Source organism: Homo sapiens, chromosome 12, assembly GCF_000001405.40.
Source record: "Homo sapiens chromosome 12, GRCh38.p14 Primary Assembly".
In the NCBI taxonomy this organism is placed as follows: domain Eukaryota; kingdom Metazoa; phylum Chordata; class Mammalia; order Primates; family Hominidae; genus Homo; species Homo sapiens.
In genome coordinates, this window is record NC_000012.12 from 53,981,540 (window position 1) to 53,997,702 (window position 16,163).

At 55.0% G+C, this 16,163-nt stretch overlaps 1 protein-coding gene, 2 long non-coding RNA genes and 1 other non-coding gene across 4 annotated transcripts, besides 3 other annotated features; 2 read left to right on the plus strand and 2 right to left on the minus strand.

Annotated features, from left to right (window-relative positions):
• Positions 1 to 2,411: 2,411 nt before the first annotated feature.
• HOXC-AS3 (HOXC cluster antisense RNA 3) lies at positions 2,412 to 3,980 on the minus strand. The gene is made up of 3 exons (NR_047506.1): positions 3,937 to 3,980; positions 3,425 to 3,544; positions 2,412 to 2,615 (listed from the first exon to the last, which is right to left on the minus strand). It is a non-coding gene; the product is annotated as an HOXC cluster antisense RNA 3 (long non-coding RNA).
• Positions 3,607 to 8,740, plus strand: HOXC10 (homeobox C10). Its single transcript, NM_017409.4, has 2 exons — positions 3,607 to 4,471; positions 7,630 to 8,740. Exons 1-2 carry the CDS (start codon positions 3,721 to 3,723, stop codon positions 7,905 to 7,907), a joined length of 1,029 nt encoding a protein of 342 aa, NP_059105.2. The 5' UTR covers positions 3,607 to 3,720; the 3' UTR covers positions 7,908 to 8,740.
• Positions 4,391 to 5,271: an enhancer, noted in NCBI's record as "H3K27ac-H3K4me1 hESC enhancer chr12:54379714-54380594 (GRCh37/hg19 assembly coordinates)". NCBI's record gives its function as "activates a minimal SCP1, AML or CMV promoter by ChIP-STARR-seq in naive and primed H9 embryonic stem cells {active_cell/tissue: H9 hESC(naive and primed)}" and the evidence as "EXISTENCE:reporter gene assay evidence [ECO:0000049][PMID:30033119]".
• Positions 4,756 to 4,805: a silencer, noted in NCBI's record as "silent region_4519". NCBI's record gives its function as "represses an Ori minimal core promoter by ATAC-STARR-seq in GM12878 lymphoblastoid cells {active_cell/tissue: GM12878}" and the evidence as "EXISTENCE:reporter gene assay evidence [ECO:0000049][PMID:35858748]".
• A 1,458-nt stretch (positions 8,741 to 10,198) lies between the features above and the next one.
• On the plus strand, positions 10,199 to 10,308 carry MIR196A2 (microRNA 196a-2). Its single transcript, NR_029617.1, has one exon. It is a non-coding gene; the product is annotated as a microRNA 196a-2 (primary transcript).
• On the minus strand, positions 13,669 to 15,246 carry HOXC-AS2 (HOXC cluster antisense RNA 2). Its single transcript, NR_047505.1, has 3 exons — positions 15,131 to 15,246; positions 14,294 to 14,370; positions 13,669 to 13,979 (listed from the first exon to the last, which is right to left on the minus strand). It is a non-coding gene; the product is annotated as an HOXC cluster antisense RNA 2 (long non-coding RNA).
• Positions 13,678 to 14,246: an enhancer, noted in NCBI's record as "H3K4me1 hESC enhancer chr12:54389001-54389569 (GRCh37/hg19 assembly coordinates)". NCBI's record gives its function as "activates a minimal SCP1, AML or CMV promoter by ChIP-STARR-seq in naive H9 embryonic stem cells {active_cell/tissue: H9 hESC(naive)}" and the evidence as "EXISTENCE:reporter gene assay evidence [ECO:0000049][PMID:30033119]".
• Positions 15,247 to 16,163: the final 917 nt, after the last annotated feature.

Here is a 16,163-nt window from a genome sequence, read left to right on the forward strand (position 1 = left end):
AAGGGAAAGACATTCTTCCTTTTTCACTTCATCTTCAGAATTTCCCAGTTGACTTTCTTAACCTGTTGGGGAAACTCCAATTTTTTGCTGGAGAAACCAGGGTGCTTCTGGGGTGTGTTGAGGGCTACAGCCAAGAAAGCAACAAAGGTCCTTTTTTGTTCATTGAGCATATTTTCCTTCTTCTGCTTTCACGTGGGGACCCCTAGCGCCCCAGCCCTTGGGCTGCCCTGTGGAACCCGCTGGATCCTCCCAGAGTATTCACAGAGCTCCTGAACCCTCCTCCTCTGCATTGCTCACAGCCCCACAGACAGAAGGAGGCCCAGCCCCGTCCTTGTTGCCTTTCCAGGATCTGGGTACCCGGGAAGGGAGAAAGGGGCCAGGGCATTGGCCCTGGGTGGGATTTGTCAGGTCGTATGCACAGCTTGAGCCCCACTGTGGCTTGCAGCCCCTGGATTTTCATGTTCCCAAGTTGAGGTAAGAGGGGGGAGCCCCAGACGTAGGCATAGGCATAGGTGTCTCAGCGCCCTCGGAAAGTTGGGGAAATGGATTAATAAAAGTCCATATGTGGGTGATTCTAGCAACACAGGCCTCCCCTGGATCCTAATCCAGTTGCCAAGGGCACAGGCTGAAGGATCTTGGCCCTGTGGGGCAGGGCGGTGGGTGCCTGGCAGTGGCGGCAGGCGGGGTCGCTGTGGCGGCCCGCATGCCTTTGAACGCCAGGCCCGGACAATAGGACCGAAACAGCCTTTGCTCGTGGCCTCGGGAAAGACCGAGCCCAAGGGGGCAGGGCTGGGACCCAGGCCCGCACAAATGCTCCCTTCGCCAGGATAAAACACTCACTTTTTCCTTCCTTTTACCTCCACTGAAGCAGAATCTCAAAGTCTGTGAAAACCCAACAAGTTATTCAGGTCTGCGTCCGAGCGGGCTCTAGTTTAGCAGCACCGGGTTTTCGTTTATCTTGCGTAATTAGAGGCAAACATTTGTCCCACCGGGGGTCCCACTTAGGCTGATGAATTTGATTTCTTTTTTCATTAATCGGCCGTGTTTATCATACTTCTAATTATTTCAACTTTAAACACTATTCTGTCTTGTGAGGAGGTGGGAGTCGAGGCGGGAGGCTCCTCCCTGGAGTATTATTTTCATTAATGATGGCGATAATTCCGAAGCGACTCTGTCCTCTCCCTTGGCTAAGGTGAGAGGTGGGCTTGGAAAGAGGTTGGGTGGTGGGACCCCTGAGGCCGATGGGTCTGCTCCCTGTCTGCTGGTTCCCCAGGCTACGCCTTGGGGCTTGTCTGAAGTTTATCTCCTTCACCCTTTCCTGCCGACTCCTTCACCCCCTCCCAGGCTGGGCTCAAACCCTTTGCGGCTCTTCCCTGGAAACCTTTCTCTGATCCCAGCCTGTCCTGGCTGGCCTGGGCAGAGGCTCGGGTAGCACTGTCCTGGCCCCCAGCTACTAACACCCAGAGAAAAAAAAAAAGAAAAGGCTGAGGTGGCCAAGGGCCACTTGGCCGTGGGGAAAAGGACCCACCAGACTCCAAAGTGGGGGGTAAGGGTAGGGAACTGGGACGCTAAATTCCTGGGAAAAGCACACCAGGCAGGAAAATAAAGGAGACGTGAAAGAGGGGGGAGGGAACCCCCAAAGCCATATAATTCTCAATTGCTTTGGTATTTAATTTCATCGTCCCATAAATGAGGAAATATCAGTTCCCATACTAAATTTTTATCCCTGGCTGATAAATATGACGGGAAATTTTCGTTGGGTCCTCGTAAAAGGGAACGGTTTCGATCAAACTGGTGGGGAAAGACTAATGCAGATAATACAAACAGAGTGGCCATAAAGTCTCGCCCGTTTCCCGCGGGATGGGCGGTGGGACAAATGGCTCCCTGGATTGACTGCTGCCCGGACTGTCCCAAGTCTGGGGCCTAAACAGCCTAACCTTGCCCTGGATAACCCCCATGCTGAGGCCACGGTGACCCTGCATATGAAAACACAAAACCATTTCAAATCTCCCCTGGCCGGTCCTGCAAGCAAATCATACACTCCACATTTCCTTCCAGTTTTCCGGAGGTTCAGGAACCCCTGCGTCTTCTCTCTCCACCCCTGGATGGGGAAATTCGGCGGATTTCTTTCTGCGGTCTTCTAGCCGCAGCGGGCTTGGGCCTCCTTAGAAACGGTCTAGCCTCCTCACTCCTCCACTCCAGGGCGCTGGGCTCCAGTCCTTTCCCCGCCAAACTCCAGCCCTTCGGAAAGTCTGAACCCTAGGCTCTGTCCAAGGAAAAATGTGGGGCGACAGGAAAGACAAGTTGTTCTCCAGATTCCGTTTCCTGAGGAAGGGGTGGAGAGTTTAGTTCGCTTTGGAAGAAGGCGATGGAGAAACGGAAATAACTGTTTGAAACATACGGTTCCCCTTATTTCTTCCTTTTATTTAAAAACAACCACAAAAATAGACTGGTCTGTCTTCTTTCAAACATGCTCCCAGCCCGTGCGCTCTGTAAAGGACGCTTCTCTGGGTCGGGTTTTGTTGCGTCTTGTGTGCTGGTTTCCCGTGTGATACGTGACTCCTCCAAACTGACCGAGGCTCCGCAGGTTCCCTCTTTCTTTCCCGGAATATTCCCTGTTTTAGCGGGGGCAAGGTCAAGCGGAAAGCGAGGACCGCCAGGGCCTGAAGTAAAGCAGCAGAACCGGCTCCAAGGCCAAAGCCTTGTGGGCCCCTGAGATGGTGACCCAGGAGCCGCCCACCCTGCCAGGCCCAGGCCACAGCTCTCGGGTCGGGGATCGGGTGCCTCTGGTCTCTGGCTTCCTCTTTCCCCTACCCCGCGTCCATTCGGAACCTCCTTTTCCGAGCAGCCATGAAGTGACCGTGACCCCCTCCCTGGCCCACCCTAGAGGCTGGAGATTCCCAGTCAACCCCCACAGGAAACTTGCAACTCCAGCGCCGCGGCCCCCAAGCTTCCAGCCCCGAGGGCCAAGCCCGGGGAAAAGAGGAGGCGGGAGAGCAGAAACTTTAGTCCTGTTTGGTATTCCTTAACTTTTTTTCCCCTTTCTCTGCTCATCAGATCCCCCCAAACCCCCCCCCCCACAAACCTCACCCCACTCCCATCCCCAAGGTAAGAAGTGGGAGTCGGGTCCGGGGATATGGAAAGGGGAGATGAAGAGTGGGGAGAAGTACCTGATTCGTGTCTCGACCTTTTAATTTGAATTTGACTGTTTTGAGCCCCGGGTTGCCTCGCTCTCTCCCTCTCTCCCGCATTTCCCCCCTCTCCGCCCCCTTCTCCCCAGGAGTTACAGGCTGGTTACTGGATAAACAAACCCCACTCTTCCTAGAACCCCCACCCCCACCCCCACCCCCCTCCACCCCTCTACCTCCCCTGCCGCCCGGGGGGCGCTTCCTTTGTTCGCGGGGAAGGGCTCCGGTGCCCCTACCCCGAGGCAGCTGCTAGATGGCGCTGTTACTCCACTCTGCGCGCTCCGCCTGCCGACAACTTGACCCCGCTGACGTCACGGCCGTCTGAATCATCAAGGCCATTTTCAAATCCCATTGGTCTAGCCGTCACATGGTGAGAACCGAATGCGCGGATAATTACGGAGCTGATATTTCCCCCCCTCCCCTTCTTTTTCCTCCCTCCCCTCCAACCGCGCCCCCCCTCCCGGATGGGGAAAAAAAAAGATGTCAGCTCCTCCGCTGTAGTATTGCTCCTTAAAAACCCCTCTCTCTGAAAATGACATGCCCTCGCAATGTAACTCCGAACTCGTACGCGGAGCCCTTGGCTGCGCCCGGCGGAGGAGAGCGCTATAGCCGGAGCGCAGGCATGTATATGCAGTCTGGGAGTGACTTCAATTGCGGGGTGATGAGGGGCTGCGGGCTCGCGCCCTCGCTCTCCAAGAGGGACGAGGGCAGCAGCCCCAGCCTCGCCCTCAACACCTATCCGTCCTACCTCTCGCAGCTGGACTCCTGGGGCGACCCCAAAGCCGCCTATCGCCTGGAACAACCTGTTGGCAGGCCGCTGTCCTCCTGCTCCTACCCACCTAGTGTCAAGGAGGAGAATGTCTGCTGCATGTACAGCGCAGAGAAGCGGGCGAAAAGTGGCCCCGAGGCAGCTCTCTACTCCCACCCCTTGCCGGAGTCCTGCCTTGGGGAGCACGAGGTACCCGTGCCCAGCTACTACCGCGCCAGCCCGAGCTACTCCGCGCTGGACAAGACGCCCCACTGTTCTGGGGCCAACGACTTCGAAGCCCCTTTCGAGCAGCGGGCCAGTCTCAACCCGCGCGCCGAACATCTGGAATCGCCTCAGCTGGGGGGCAAAGTGAGTTTCCCTGAGACCCCCAAGTCCGACAGCCAGACCCCCAGCCCCAATGAAATCAAGACGGAGCAGAGCCTGGCGGGCCCTAAAGGGAGCCCCTCGGAGAGCGAAAAGGAGAGGGCCAAAGCTGCCGACTCCAGCCCAGACACCTCGGATAACGAAGCGAAAGGTAAGGCCGCCTGGGCCGCGGGCGCCACTGGGACGTTCCGGCACTTGGTCTTCGCGGCCGGGGAGGGGGGCAGGGGAGAGGGTTGGGCCCAGGAGGCCCCAGACCATTTCGGGAATGCGACCCTGGCTTTCGACTAGCGTCCGCTGAGCTCCAGGCTGGTGGCGCGTCACTTAGCTGGGGAAGGTAAGCGGCGACGTGGAGGTGTCGGCCCTGCCCCGGCCATGGGTGCTAAGGCGGGGGCGGTGCGCACCGCGGGCCGCCTGCAGGCGCAGTGTGCTGCACCGGACGGGTGGCTGCTCCCAGGCGCGTGCTGGCTGTGGTTTGCTTTCTCAATGCTGGTGTCCTGGGGAGCTGACGTCCCCCAGCTCAGGTCAGGGGCTTGCAAAAAGCCTAAAATGGCGATCTTGGGCCAGGGACTAGGGAAGGCTGGGGAGATGGGGGGAGTTCTCTTTACTGCGTTTTCCCAGTTGAAAATTGTTTCCTGCGAAACGCGATTTGTTGTTTGTGGGTCTGATTTGTGCGTGCGGCTTGGGCTCCTGCGGCTTTTGGCTCGGCCGGGGGCCTTGGGCAGCGAGGCTGGAGCCGGAAGAGGTGGAGGTGAAGGGCTGCCCGCCACGTCCCTCCCTCCTCCAGATGCCTGGCTTGGATGGCGTTGGAACAGGGCATTTGGAATGTTGTAAGTTTTCTGTTTCCTCTTTTAATTTTTTCTTTTCCATTTTTTTCTAGTTAAATTATCTTTTTTCATTGGTTTCCAAAAGCAGCTTACAAATGAGTGGTTGGGAAATTTCTGTGTGCGTGGCAAGAGGTTTTCTCCTGAAAGGGAATGTGGCTTTGGTTGGATTTCACTGTAATTTTGGTTGAGAGAAAGCCCAGCCAGAGTTCAAGCTCAGGGTTCAAGATTCATTTCTGCTGTAGGAGCTGGGGGCCTTCGGGATCTTTCTCTGATACTTGGGGAAAGAATGTGGAGGAAACGGGAGCAGGGGAGGAAAAGCTGAGGGGAACGACTTTTCCTGAAAAGTTGTAGCAAGAGCCTCAGAAAAAGGCCCAACCAACGGGGAAGAATAAACCTGCTCCCCACAACACCGGCTACTGGTGACAGTATATAAGGGGCTCATTGGGTGTAGAGGAAGATGAAATACTGAGAGCGGAGCAGGCTGGGGGCGGCCTGGATCTCCTGGTGCTTTGTATATGGATGCGACGCACACGCATGCCTACGGGCGACCTGTGCCACACTCACGCACATCCATATTGCATGATCCTTGCACACTCACGCATGCCCGCTCACACATGCACAGGCACTCTTTTGGCGGGCAAGGGCAGAGCCTCATCCCCTTGGGTCTGCAAAGGTGGTCTTGGTAAATCATCCCCATAGAGACACTGACTGGAAGATGAGCGCTGGTGTGTTCATGAGGATAAGGGGGAGAGTGAGGCGCCTACAGCCTCAAAGCCTTTCGTTTGGCACGTGTGCAGTGTGAAGGTTTAATCTTATACCCTCTCTACAGACCCTGAGCTTGGTTAGGGAGCAGATTTGGGGCAGGAAAACCTGCATTCTAGCCCCCACCAAAAGCAAAGTCAAGGTTAACAAGTTCACCTCTTAACTCGACCTGCACCCATTCCCATAGGCTCTCCCTTTCCTCTAGCTGTCCCCACAGCAACCTAATCCCTCCCACCCCAAGGAATCCCTCTTACCCTGTACCCTCTCTGTGCCCTTCTTTCCTCTCCTCCTGTTTTGATGTCTCCACCAGGCCAGAGGCAAGAGAGCTTTTGATTAAACTTCCCCATTTATAATTTGTCTTGTCCCCCCACCCCACCAAACCTAACAACTCCAGTAAGAAAATAAACAGGACGTAGTTAGATGTGGAGAGCTTGTAAACAATCTGGCAAGAAGCTGCAGGTGCAGAGACAGGAGAGAAAATTCGGGACATTCAGATTTTTTTAGACTGCAACCTCAAGTTTGCCTTTTTTGTGTGTTTTCTGGTTCCTCTTAGGCCCCCGCCTCACCCCGCCCCCAACAAGATAAGATCCAGGAACCTGGCAGCCTCATTGGAATAGGGAGGAGAGAGAGCTCAGAGCCATCAGCAGAGTCCTTTGCTGGGTGTCCTCTCAGGTCTTTGGACTCTGTTTTTTGCCCTTAAAAAGATGGCCAGGTTCCCTTCTGCTACTTGAGAAGCAAGGCTGGTCCATTTCAGCAAGAATGTGTGTCAGGGATAGAGGCTGTCAATAAGCTCATGGGAAATACACAGTATTCTATAGTATCTCCTTACAAAAAAAGACTCATGTACATATCTATGTGTGTGTACTTATGTGTATAGGTGTGTGTATCTCTGCAGGTATACATGTGTACTTGCAGGCATACACATCTACGTATGCACAGACTGGGCAGGGGGTTTCTAGGAGGCTGCATTTCCTCAGGATATGTCTCTCCCTTGACCTTAGGTCCTTTGGCCAGGAAAGTTGTTTGAGGACCCCTTAGGTTGCCCCAGCTCTGTTGCCCCTGACCTCTGCTGCTCTTACAAGCTCCCCTCAGCTGCACATACCTGGGAGAAATGATTAAGAGAGGAAGAGATGGCAATGGGAGACCTAAGGGAGCAGAGTCACTCTGTGGCAGCTCAGGTTGGGGTAAGAGCTGGGGGCCCAGGACAGGGACCACTGCAGTGGCCTCTGGCCACAGATCCTGGAACAAAGTCCCTCCACTGAGTTGAAACAGGTCAAAGCTCTCTGGGAATTTCTCTGGTCTGTGGGTGGACTCTGCTCTGGTCTGGGGCCTGGAAAATGCTTTTCCATCTGGTTGGATTTTTCCAGAGCTGGAATGGAACAGAGAGAAGGGGGGATCTGGCAAGGTTTAGGGAATCTGCCAGGGTCAGCCAGCTGGGGGAAAGCCAGGGTACTCAGGATCTTTTAGATTAAGGTGGACTTGGGTAATTTAAATTTAATAAATGCTTGGAGGCAAGAACTTCCTCCCTTTATCTCCCTAAGTCTAAACCCCAAAGAAATTGTAAGAACCTTGAGCCTAAGAGGAGCCCACCGCCAGGCCCCTGGGGCAAGAGCAGCTCCCCTGTGCTCCCTCAGCCACCCCACAGCAGGCTGGCAAAGGCTGCAGCGCTGAGAGGGTTTTCGACTTCGAGGGATACTTATGTAAATAATGTTATTTTTAACAGAGGAGATAAAGGCAGAAAACACCACAGGAAATTGGCTGACAGCAAAGAGCGGAAGGAAGAAGAGGTGCCCCTATACTAAACACCAGACGCTGGAATTGGAGAAAGAATTTCTGTTCAATATGTATTTGACGCGAGAGCGCCGCCTGGAGATTAGCAAGACCATTAACCTTACAGACAGACAAGTCAAAATCTGGTTTCAAAATCGCAGAATGAAACTCAAGAAAATGAACCGAGAGAATCGGATCCGGGAACTGACCTCCAATTTTAATTTCACCTGAGAGCGCGGCCTCTCCTCCTCCCTTCCCGCTCCTTCCTCTCCCCGCCCCTCCTCCCTTTGTGCCTGGTGATATATTTTTTTTTCCTCCCTGAGTATAAATGCAATGCGACTGCAAAAAAGGCAAAGACCTCAGACTCTCCTTCCAAGGGACCTGTGGTTCGTGCTGCGAAGATGCTTCCACTTAAAGCATGAGAAATGGGGTGCCGGGATGTGGGGTGTGGTGTGTGCCCTCATAGATGGGGGTGGGAGTGTGGCTGGTGTGTGTGTCAAGCCCTCACTCACCCACGCACTCACACACAGCATTCTGTTCTCCATGCAAAGTTAAGATCGAATCCATCCGCTTGTAGGGGAAAAAAAGGAAAAAAATTAACCAGAGAGGGTCTGTAATCTCGCAGAGCACAGGCAGAATCGTTCCTTCCTTGCTGCATTTCCTCCTTAGACTAATAGACGTTTTGGAAAGTTCGGCTAGTGTTCGTGTGTTTGTCGTAGCACCCAGAGCCTCCACCAAACCCTCTCCATGTCTTTACCTCCCAGTCGCTCTAAGAATCTGCTTGAAGTCTCGTATTTGTACTGCTTTCTGCTTTTCTCCCACCCCTCCTAGCACCCCCACATCCCCCATCTAGTAACATCTCAGAAATTTCATCCAGAGGAACAAAAAAATTAAAAATAGAACATAGCAAAGCAAAGACAGAATGCCCCCCCCCCCAAATATTGTCCTGTCCCTGTCTGGGAGTTGTGTTATTTAAAGATATTCTGTATGTTGTATCTTTTGCATGTAGCTTCCTTAATGGAGAAAAAAAAACCTAATAAATTTCCAGAATCATAATCCTCAAATGGATGGTTTTTTGTTTTTAGTGATTTTTAGCAACACCCCTCCCCCGAAGAGGCTGAGTGTGTGGATGTGTGTGTTTTGTGTTTGACTCATCTCCTAGAGCCTTTCTAGAACGTCTCTTGGCGGGTTTAATGTAAGTGAGAGACCATAACGTTGATTTAAATATTATCCAGGTGACCACAATAAGTCAAGGTCATAAAACAGTAATGTCAGGACGGTCTTGGTGCGCGCGAGAGGTGGATTTTATGATCTGCAAATATAATGTGGTGCTGCAGTAAAAGATGCATTTAAAGGTGACTGGAGGAGGGAAAGAGGCAGAGAGCAAGCTGCAATCTTGAGGAGCAGACGGATCTGATTGCCTGGGGTGCTGGGCTGGGCGCACCCCACTGCTGCTGGGGGTCACCCCAAGAGCCCCCCACCCATCCAAGGAAAGGAATAAACTTAACCGCTGGAGGGGCATGAGGAGCTCAGCCCCCCCAACCTCGACAGCAGCTAACAGAAACGCCAGGAGCAGCAGGAGGAGGAGGCAGCGACAAGGTAAGAGAAGCGGTTTCTTGTTCTTCTCTTGGCGGCGGAGTGGGGATGAGCGGTGTCCCCAGGTGTCCGGCGTGCAGCGGACAGAGCCTGGAGGAAGGTGTTTAGGGCATCCGTGCTTGCCGAGAACCCAGGCTTTCCTAGTGGCCGCTGGCAGCGGAGGGCAGCGACTGGGAGCTCCCTCTCCTTCCCTCCCGGGCCCATTGCCATGGGGGTTCCACAGTTAAAGGGATAAATTGATGGTTTTTGGCTTCTTTATCTTTTCGGGCACTTTGGGTCTCCTCGAAGTCGACACTCTGGTCTAGGTGTTGCTCAGTCTGGTCGTCTGTTGGTGGGGGAGGAGGAGTACAGAGGGTTGAAGCTTGAAGCTTAGGTTTTCCTGCTTTTCGCTGGTTTGGATGTGAGCCTCGTCCAGCCTCTTGTTCCCTGTGCTCCCTGGCTGTAACGTTTTGCCAGGCAAGTGGCCTGATTGGAAGTGGCTCCAGAGCACAGGGCTATGATTCAGCTACCCACATTCGCTGAGAAGCCTAAACCGAGCTGAGAGGGAGAGGATCAGAGGGAGTCTAGCAGGAGAGTGCAGGAGAGCCAGATGGACAAGACAGGGGACCCAGCTCCAGAGTGGAAGGAAGATCCAGCTTCCCCCAGGGCCAGGGCCAGATGCAGGGGAATAGCTCCACTGCGGTGCTGGGGGTGGGGCAGGTATTTGGCCGCCAGTGGTCCCATTTCACCAGATTTTTCCTGAGCAATTTGCTTAGACCAGAAACTAATGAAGGCAGTCAGACCCCTTACCCACCCAGCAACCCAAAGTCTACTCTCTAGTCCTTAGGGAGGTTGTGGGGGCGGAAAGGGGGACGGGGCTGAATTTCTTCCTTCCCCAACCCCCTTCCCTTCTCCTCCAGATAGATGCAAAGCTGAATCTCCCGCCCTGCTCGCTCAGCTGATCTGTGGCTTAGGTAGTTTCATGTTGTTGGGATTGAGTTTTGAACTCGGCAACAAGAAACTGCCTGAGTTACATCAGTCGGTTTTCGTCGAGGGCCCCAACCCACCTCTCCCACTCCTACCCTCCCCAGTGGGACTGCCCCACTGCCCCCTCCCAGATAGGGCAAAGTGGGTGCAGACCAAGGAGGACAAGCTGTGAGTGGGGTTGCAGAACAAGTCTGGAGAACCCTGCTTTATGCCGTCCTCTCAACCTATCCCAATCCCTGTGATTAAGGGAGAGGAGTCTTTCCTGCAGCTATTGTCTCCTGGGCCCAGCTGATGGAGACAGACAAAGAGGGTCCAGCCAATTCCAAGGAAATTCAGGAGTTTGAGTAAGAGGTGGCCTGGCGGGCCAGCTCAGTTGGGCAGCAGGGTGGGGCAGAATTATTAGCAGAAAGAGGAGCACAGAAAGAGAAGACGGTCTCTGGAATGGTTAGCCTCTCCCACCTACCACCTCCAGTCGACTGGGGCTCAAGATTCTCCTTAGAAAAGTGGGGTACCTGGAGGTTCCAAGAGTTGGGGAACTCTGAGCGCCAGCCCAGCCCTTTCCCCTTCCCCTTCTATAGCTCCATCTCCAGGGGAAGGACATGTTTGGGGTGTTGGTAGGTTAGAGGAAAGCCATCAAAGTCCAAGTAGAACCCCTCACACACGCACACGCACGCAACTGGGAAACATCAGGGCAAAAACCTGACTCTGGTCTCTGTTTAGTCGTCTGTGGCCTGAAGGCCTCAGTTTCTGTGGCTGTGACTGTCAGGCAGCTGCCTGTCTTTGCACTATGTGGAAACATCTGGGTGAACAGAGGCTGCCCGTGCCCACCATTGCTATGTTGGTGGAAAGGTTGTTGGCTGATGCCAGGGGGAGGAGGGGAGGAGAATGGGGTAGAGGAAAATCTGAGCAGTGTGAAACTTTGCAAAGCTTCCTCTCATCCTTTCCCCCTTGGTTCTTCAATTCTGGCCCTGGTTGCTACAGAGAAAGTTCTCAAAAGAGGTTTCTTTGCCTGCCTGCGGGCGGAGTTGGGGGGGGGGGAATAAATGGGGGAGGGGTTATGGAGACTGAGGAGATACACCCCTGTTCTCAGAGATACTGGGGAAGAGAAGCCAAAAGAAGGTCAGGTTCTTGGTTCTCTTACTTTGAAATTATTATGATTATTAAAACATTATAAACGTCTAGACAGGGAAACAAAATTATGTCCCTGTAACAAAATATATACAGAGTTCTATATTCTCACAGTCATCTGCTGGGAGGGATATATGTGACCTTGTATGAGTGTAGGGCTCTGTTTCTGTCTCCCCTAGGCTCTCTTAAATACCCTGTATGTATTTATACGCATACACATTTATTTTTCCCCTCTCTTATGCGAACATATTTGTTTTGACTCCCAAGGAAGCTGGAGGAGAAAATGGGAATAGAATTTCCTGTCTCCCTAGCTGGATTGTTGGTCTGTCTGTCCCCCATCCCTTTGTGAGAGAAAAAATTTCTTCTCTTGGAGAGAAGTATTCAAACCTCTCTATGGCTCCCAGGGAAATGGGGAAGTTTCCAGAGAGTCAGGCCAGCTGGTGGGAAGCAGGCAAGGGATTCCCCTAGTTTGGGAGCTCCTAGCAGCCTTTGAGTCTTCAGGCTGCCCCAGGCACACAGTCAGTTGGGGCAAAGCGTGTCCCAGGCAGGGACTGGGTGCTCAGGAGCATTTGGCTTGGAGATAGAGTCCCTGATGGGCCGAAATTCACTAATGAACGACTTCTGTGCTTTGGGTCTCTGTGCCCCCATTTCCGTTTCAGAGCTGTTGGGCTTATGTGTGGGAGGTCAGAGAGCCAGGGGTTGAGGTGTCTCCTCCCCAAATGCAGAGAAATGGAGCGAGGTCTCATAGGGCCAAGGTGAGGACCAGTCTGGTGGTCAGAGTCCACCCCCGGCACAAGGCCGTGGATCATGGCTAAGGCGATGGTAATTATTTATTCCCTTCGCCGGAAGGGAGTCTTCAGAAGGAACAGCGTGAAGAGAAGAGAAAAAATTATCTCTCTCGTCTGTGGATATTAAGATGGATTTTTATTTCTTAAAGGACCCTCCCCGCCGAGAGCGCATAAGCGTAAACTTAATATATGCTCCGCAGCCCAACTCCAGAAATCGCAATAAAAGTTAAAACCTCCCCTACTGTTTTTTTTTTAATTATGATATGGGAAAGAGGAGCAGGATTTATAGAGCTGAACTCTCAGTGTATGAATGTTTGAGACTTGCGGGAGGAAGAAAAGGCAAGAGCTCGCCAAGGCGAGCCTTGGTCTCTGAGATCTCTCGTCGGCTGCTGGGGCTCCGGCTCAGCCTGGCAGATCCGCTGTGGCCTCTCTGGGACCTCGCCCCGGCCCACGGCCTGACTTCGGCTCGGAGATGCAGCCCTTCCCGAGAACAGGTGAAGAAGACGGCGGCAGCGGGGACTGGGGGCTTCGGGTGGGAACGCCAGGGCTCAGGGCTTTGTGTGGGTCGTGCAGGGGGCGAGGTTCGAAGTCCTGGGCTGGACCGCAGCACGAGTGTGGCCCGGACGGCTGCGTGGCCAGAAGGGGTGTTCGGGCAGGGTGCGAGAGCACCGGCAAGGTGGATTGTGTATGGACTTTGGCCGCAGACAGAGCAGAGCGGGCTCCCGGGCTGTGGCCGGCGGCGAGGCGGGCAACCGCATGTTGAGTCTATAGAAAGGACCTTGAGGTCTGCTGGGTGTTTGGGCTGCCCTGGGGGCGGCGGCCCAGAGTGTGGAGCAAGCGGCGCGCGGGGCGCGGCGGTCAGCGTGGGAGAGGCTGCAGGCCCTGCACGCCTCTGCAGCTGCCGGGCCGTGTCCGGGACGTCTGAACTGAGGCCGACCAATGGTCACAGCATGAAAAATAAATGCAATGGAAGGTCTTTCTGTCTTTTCTTTTCCGCGTAAAAGGTCCTTTCTTTTTTCTCTCTTTCGGATATACCTGGATTTGGTCCAGACCAGGTTGCCCGCGGGAGGGCCCCGCGAGCGGCAGCGCGCGAGGGAGGGAGAGAGAGGGAGGGCGAGAAGGAGGGAGGGAGGGAAGGAGGGCGGGCGGCGGCGGCCGTGGTGGCCGGGGCTTCCCTCCCCAGGCGGGAGCCGCCTGTCCTGTATCTATGGCCGTGGGGAGCGAAGGACCAGGTAACGAAGGCGCTTCCGAAGCGGGATTGGACCAAACCAGAGGGACAGAGTCTTCTGGGTCTCTCTGCCTGAGGCCCTGGAGGGAGAGAAGGTAGGGAGATCGGCGCCCGCCGGGCCTGGCAAAGAGGCCTCGGGAAATGTTGAACCTGTATGTGATCTCAGGCTCACACTCATGTTGTGGGTCTGTCTGCCTCAGGAGATGCGGTTTGCCTTTCTGTCTGAGACGCCCCAAACCCTGAGCTCTCCTTCCCAAGGCTGGAAAAAAAATCGGGAAAAACGGCGGAATTTGCACTTTCATTCATTGGGTTATCTGCAACTGAGAGGGGCTGGTTAAGGCGTCCCCAAGTTGGAAGGGCGCTTTGCTTCTGTTTTCTGGATGCAGAGTCCTCTGACTCCCTCTGCCACGGGCTGAGTTTCCGGCTCCAGGTTCGCGTGTCGCCCTGAGGTTTGAGGCCAGACAGCTCGCAGTCGGGCAGGGAGGGCGGGGGAGAGACGAGCGGCTCTGGCCCCTTAATTGTACTTCGGGCTCGTATTGTCTCTCCTTTCGCCACCTCCGCTTCCTCAGTCTGGGCTCCAAAGTCACTGCAAATTTCCTTGCGACACATACATCACACAAAAGATCAGGTAACAAGGCGCTCAGGGCCACTGGGGCTCCGGGCAGGGCAGGGAGCGGCTCTAGCTCTGGGGCGGCTCCCCCTCCAGCCACTCCCAGGCTGGAAAACCAGACCGCGTTGGGGGAGCCGGAAATAGCCCCGCTTGCTGCGGAGCGTCAGGGCGGGGGCGCCGGCGGGAATGCAGGCCCGGCAGGCCGTGGCTTTGAGAGAGCCACGTTCACAGGCCCTGGGGATTTCACTCCTGCTGGGCCTCGGGACCTGACTCCTGGTGTGTAGGGATCCCAGATACCCACCTTGGGTGGGGGCAGGACGCGGGTTTCCTCGCGGCAGGCCAAGAGAACTCAGTTTCTGCTTCCAGCGCAGGCCTTAGCTAGGAGGAGTTGTGTGTGGGTGTGTTTTTCCCAACAAAGAGGGATCAGGAGAGAGAAGGGGGGAAAGTAGAGGGGAACCAGGGAGGGGGCGGGGAGGGGAAGAGGGCAGTGGAGAGGTGAAATGAGCCCATTTCAGGGGGAGAAGGAAAATGAAAGCAAATGGAGTACGGCCTTCTCCGCGCAGGGCGGGTGCTGACGAGCCGGGAGCGGGCTCCCTGCCTGCGGCAGCCGGGATGGCCCGCTGGGGACACCGGAGAAAGCCTGTTTTAAATTTAATCCGAACTTGACGGTGTGGATTGAACCGGAGGGAATTTAAATCACTAAAAGGAAGGCGCGGGGCAGGGGGAGGGGACGACTCTAACCTGTCTATCTTTCTGTCTGTCCTTCCCACGGTGCTAGTTTGGTTGTGGCCGCAGCTGCCCAGGTTTCAGGTGATGGAGTAAGGGTGCCCCTCCCCCTCAGGGGTCTCTCCTGTGCCCAGTGAAGTCTTTTGGGGGTGGGAGGGAACTCTAAGAACCAGAGTGAATGCACAGCTGCGAGCTAAAGCTGGGGTTTCCCCCTCCCCAACAAGAACTCCCAGTGGCCTCCAGTCCCTGGGTTTGCCCCAGCGGTGCTGAGGAAAATTGAAGGGAGTATGTGGGTGAGGGGAAGTCTGGAGTATGGCAGAAGATTCAGAAGGAGTAACTGAACCCCAGGAAGACAGACCTTCCTTCTTGGTGCCCCTATATCCTTTGTGCCCCGCCCCCCGCACCTACAAACCTGGATTTGAGGGAAATCTGCAGGTCCGCTTCAAAGCCCTGGTCTGCCACCCACACCCCTCCAAATGTGGAGAATGGGGGCTACAGGCCACATGCAGTTGTGGACCTGCGGAACCTCCGCCCAGTGGACTCCGGAACTCCCAGCCTCTTCTAGCCCCCCTCCCCAAGGCCGCCTCTCTCCGAAGGGCGCAGGGAAAATGAGGCATTGGCTGGGAAGGGGCTGTGGGCGAGGCCTGCTTCCTGATCCACAGCCGTGCCTGCCTCTGAGTGGGAAGAGTTCGGAGGTCATAGTCCCAGAAAATAAAATAAAATAAAGGAAAGCGACAATCTCCTTGGTTTCACAGGGGATTTCACGGCAGCAGGGATCCCGCCGGTGAGCCTCACTGCCCGCTGCTGCCGCCTCCGCAGAGTGGGCAGGCAGGGTGCGCAGGCAGCTCAAGAGTTGAAAAGAAGGCGGTGTTCAAAGGGGGTAGGAGAGAAGGGGGCATCTCTTTACGGCCCCAATGTCTATTTGAGGAACTCTCCCAAATAGCAGAGGCCCATAGGGGAGGCTCCTTAGGGACTCTTTCCTCCAGGAAAGCTGAGGCTGGGGCAGCTGGCCTTGTCGCTTGGAGAAGACGCAAAGGAAGAGCAGGGGTGAAACCTCTTTCCTCTTCTGTTTCTTCGCTCCTTGAATAGAGCAGGGCTCAGCCCCCAGCTGCCTAAGCGGCTGTCTGGACCAATATGGGGTTCTATATCCCTGAGGCCTAGAGTACCCATCCGAGCAAGTCTCCTGGGAGGGGCAGGAGAGGAGCCCTCTTCCGCCTTTGTGTCCAGACAGAAGTGGCCGCCGCGCCCGGAGCCGGTCCCGCGGCAAAGGCCCGGCAAGCCAGCGGGCTGCACAATGCCACGGCTGCTCCGCCAGCTCGCCCCTGCCCCGTCCTGCCTGCCTACGGCCGCCCTTCCTCCGCCTCCCTCTCTGCACGCCTGCCTTTCCCGGCTCTCCTATCTCTTTTCATCTTGCCTTCCTTCTTTTAATTCTCCCCCTTTTTTCC

Bases quoted from the DNA above. Each gene is read 5' to 3' on its own strand.
- HOXC10 (NM_017409.4), top strand. From the start codon at position 3,721: ATGACATGCCCTCGCAATGTAACTCCGAACTCGTACGCGGAGCCCTTG. The intron at 4,472-7,629 runs GTAAGGCCGCCT...TATTTTTAACAG, and splicing joins CTCGGATAACGAAGCGAAAG to AGGAGATAAAGGCAGAAAAC.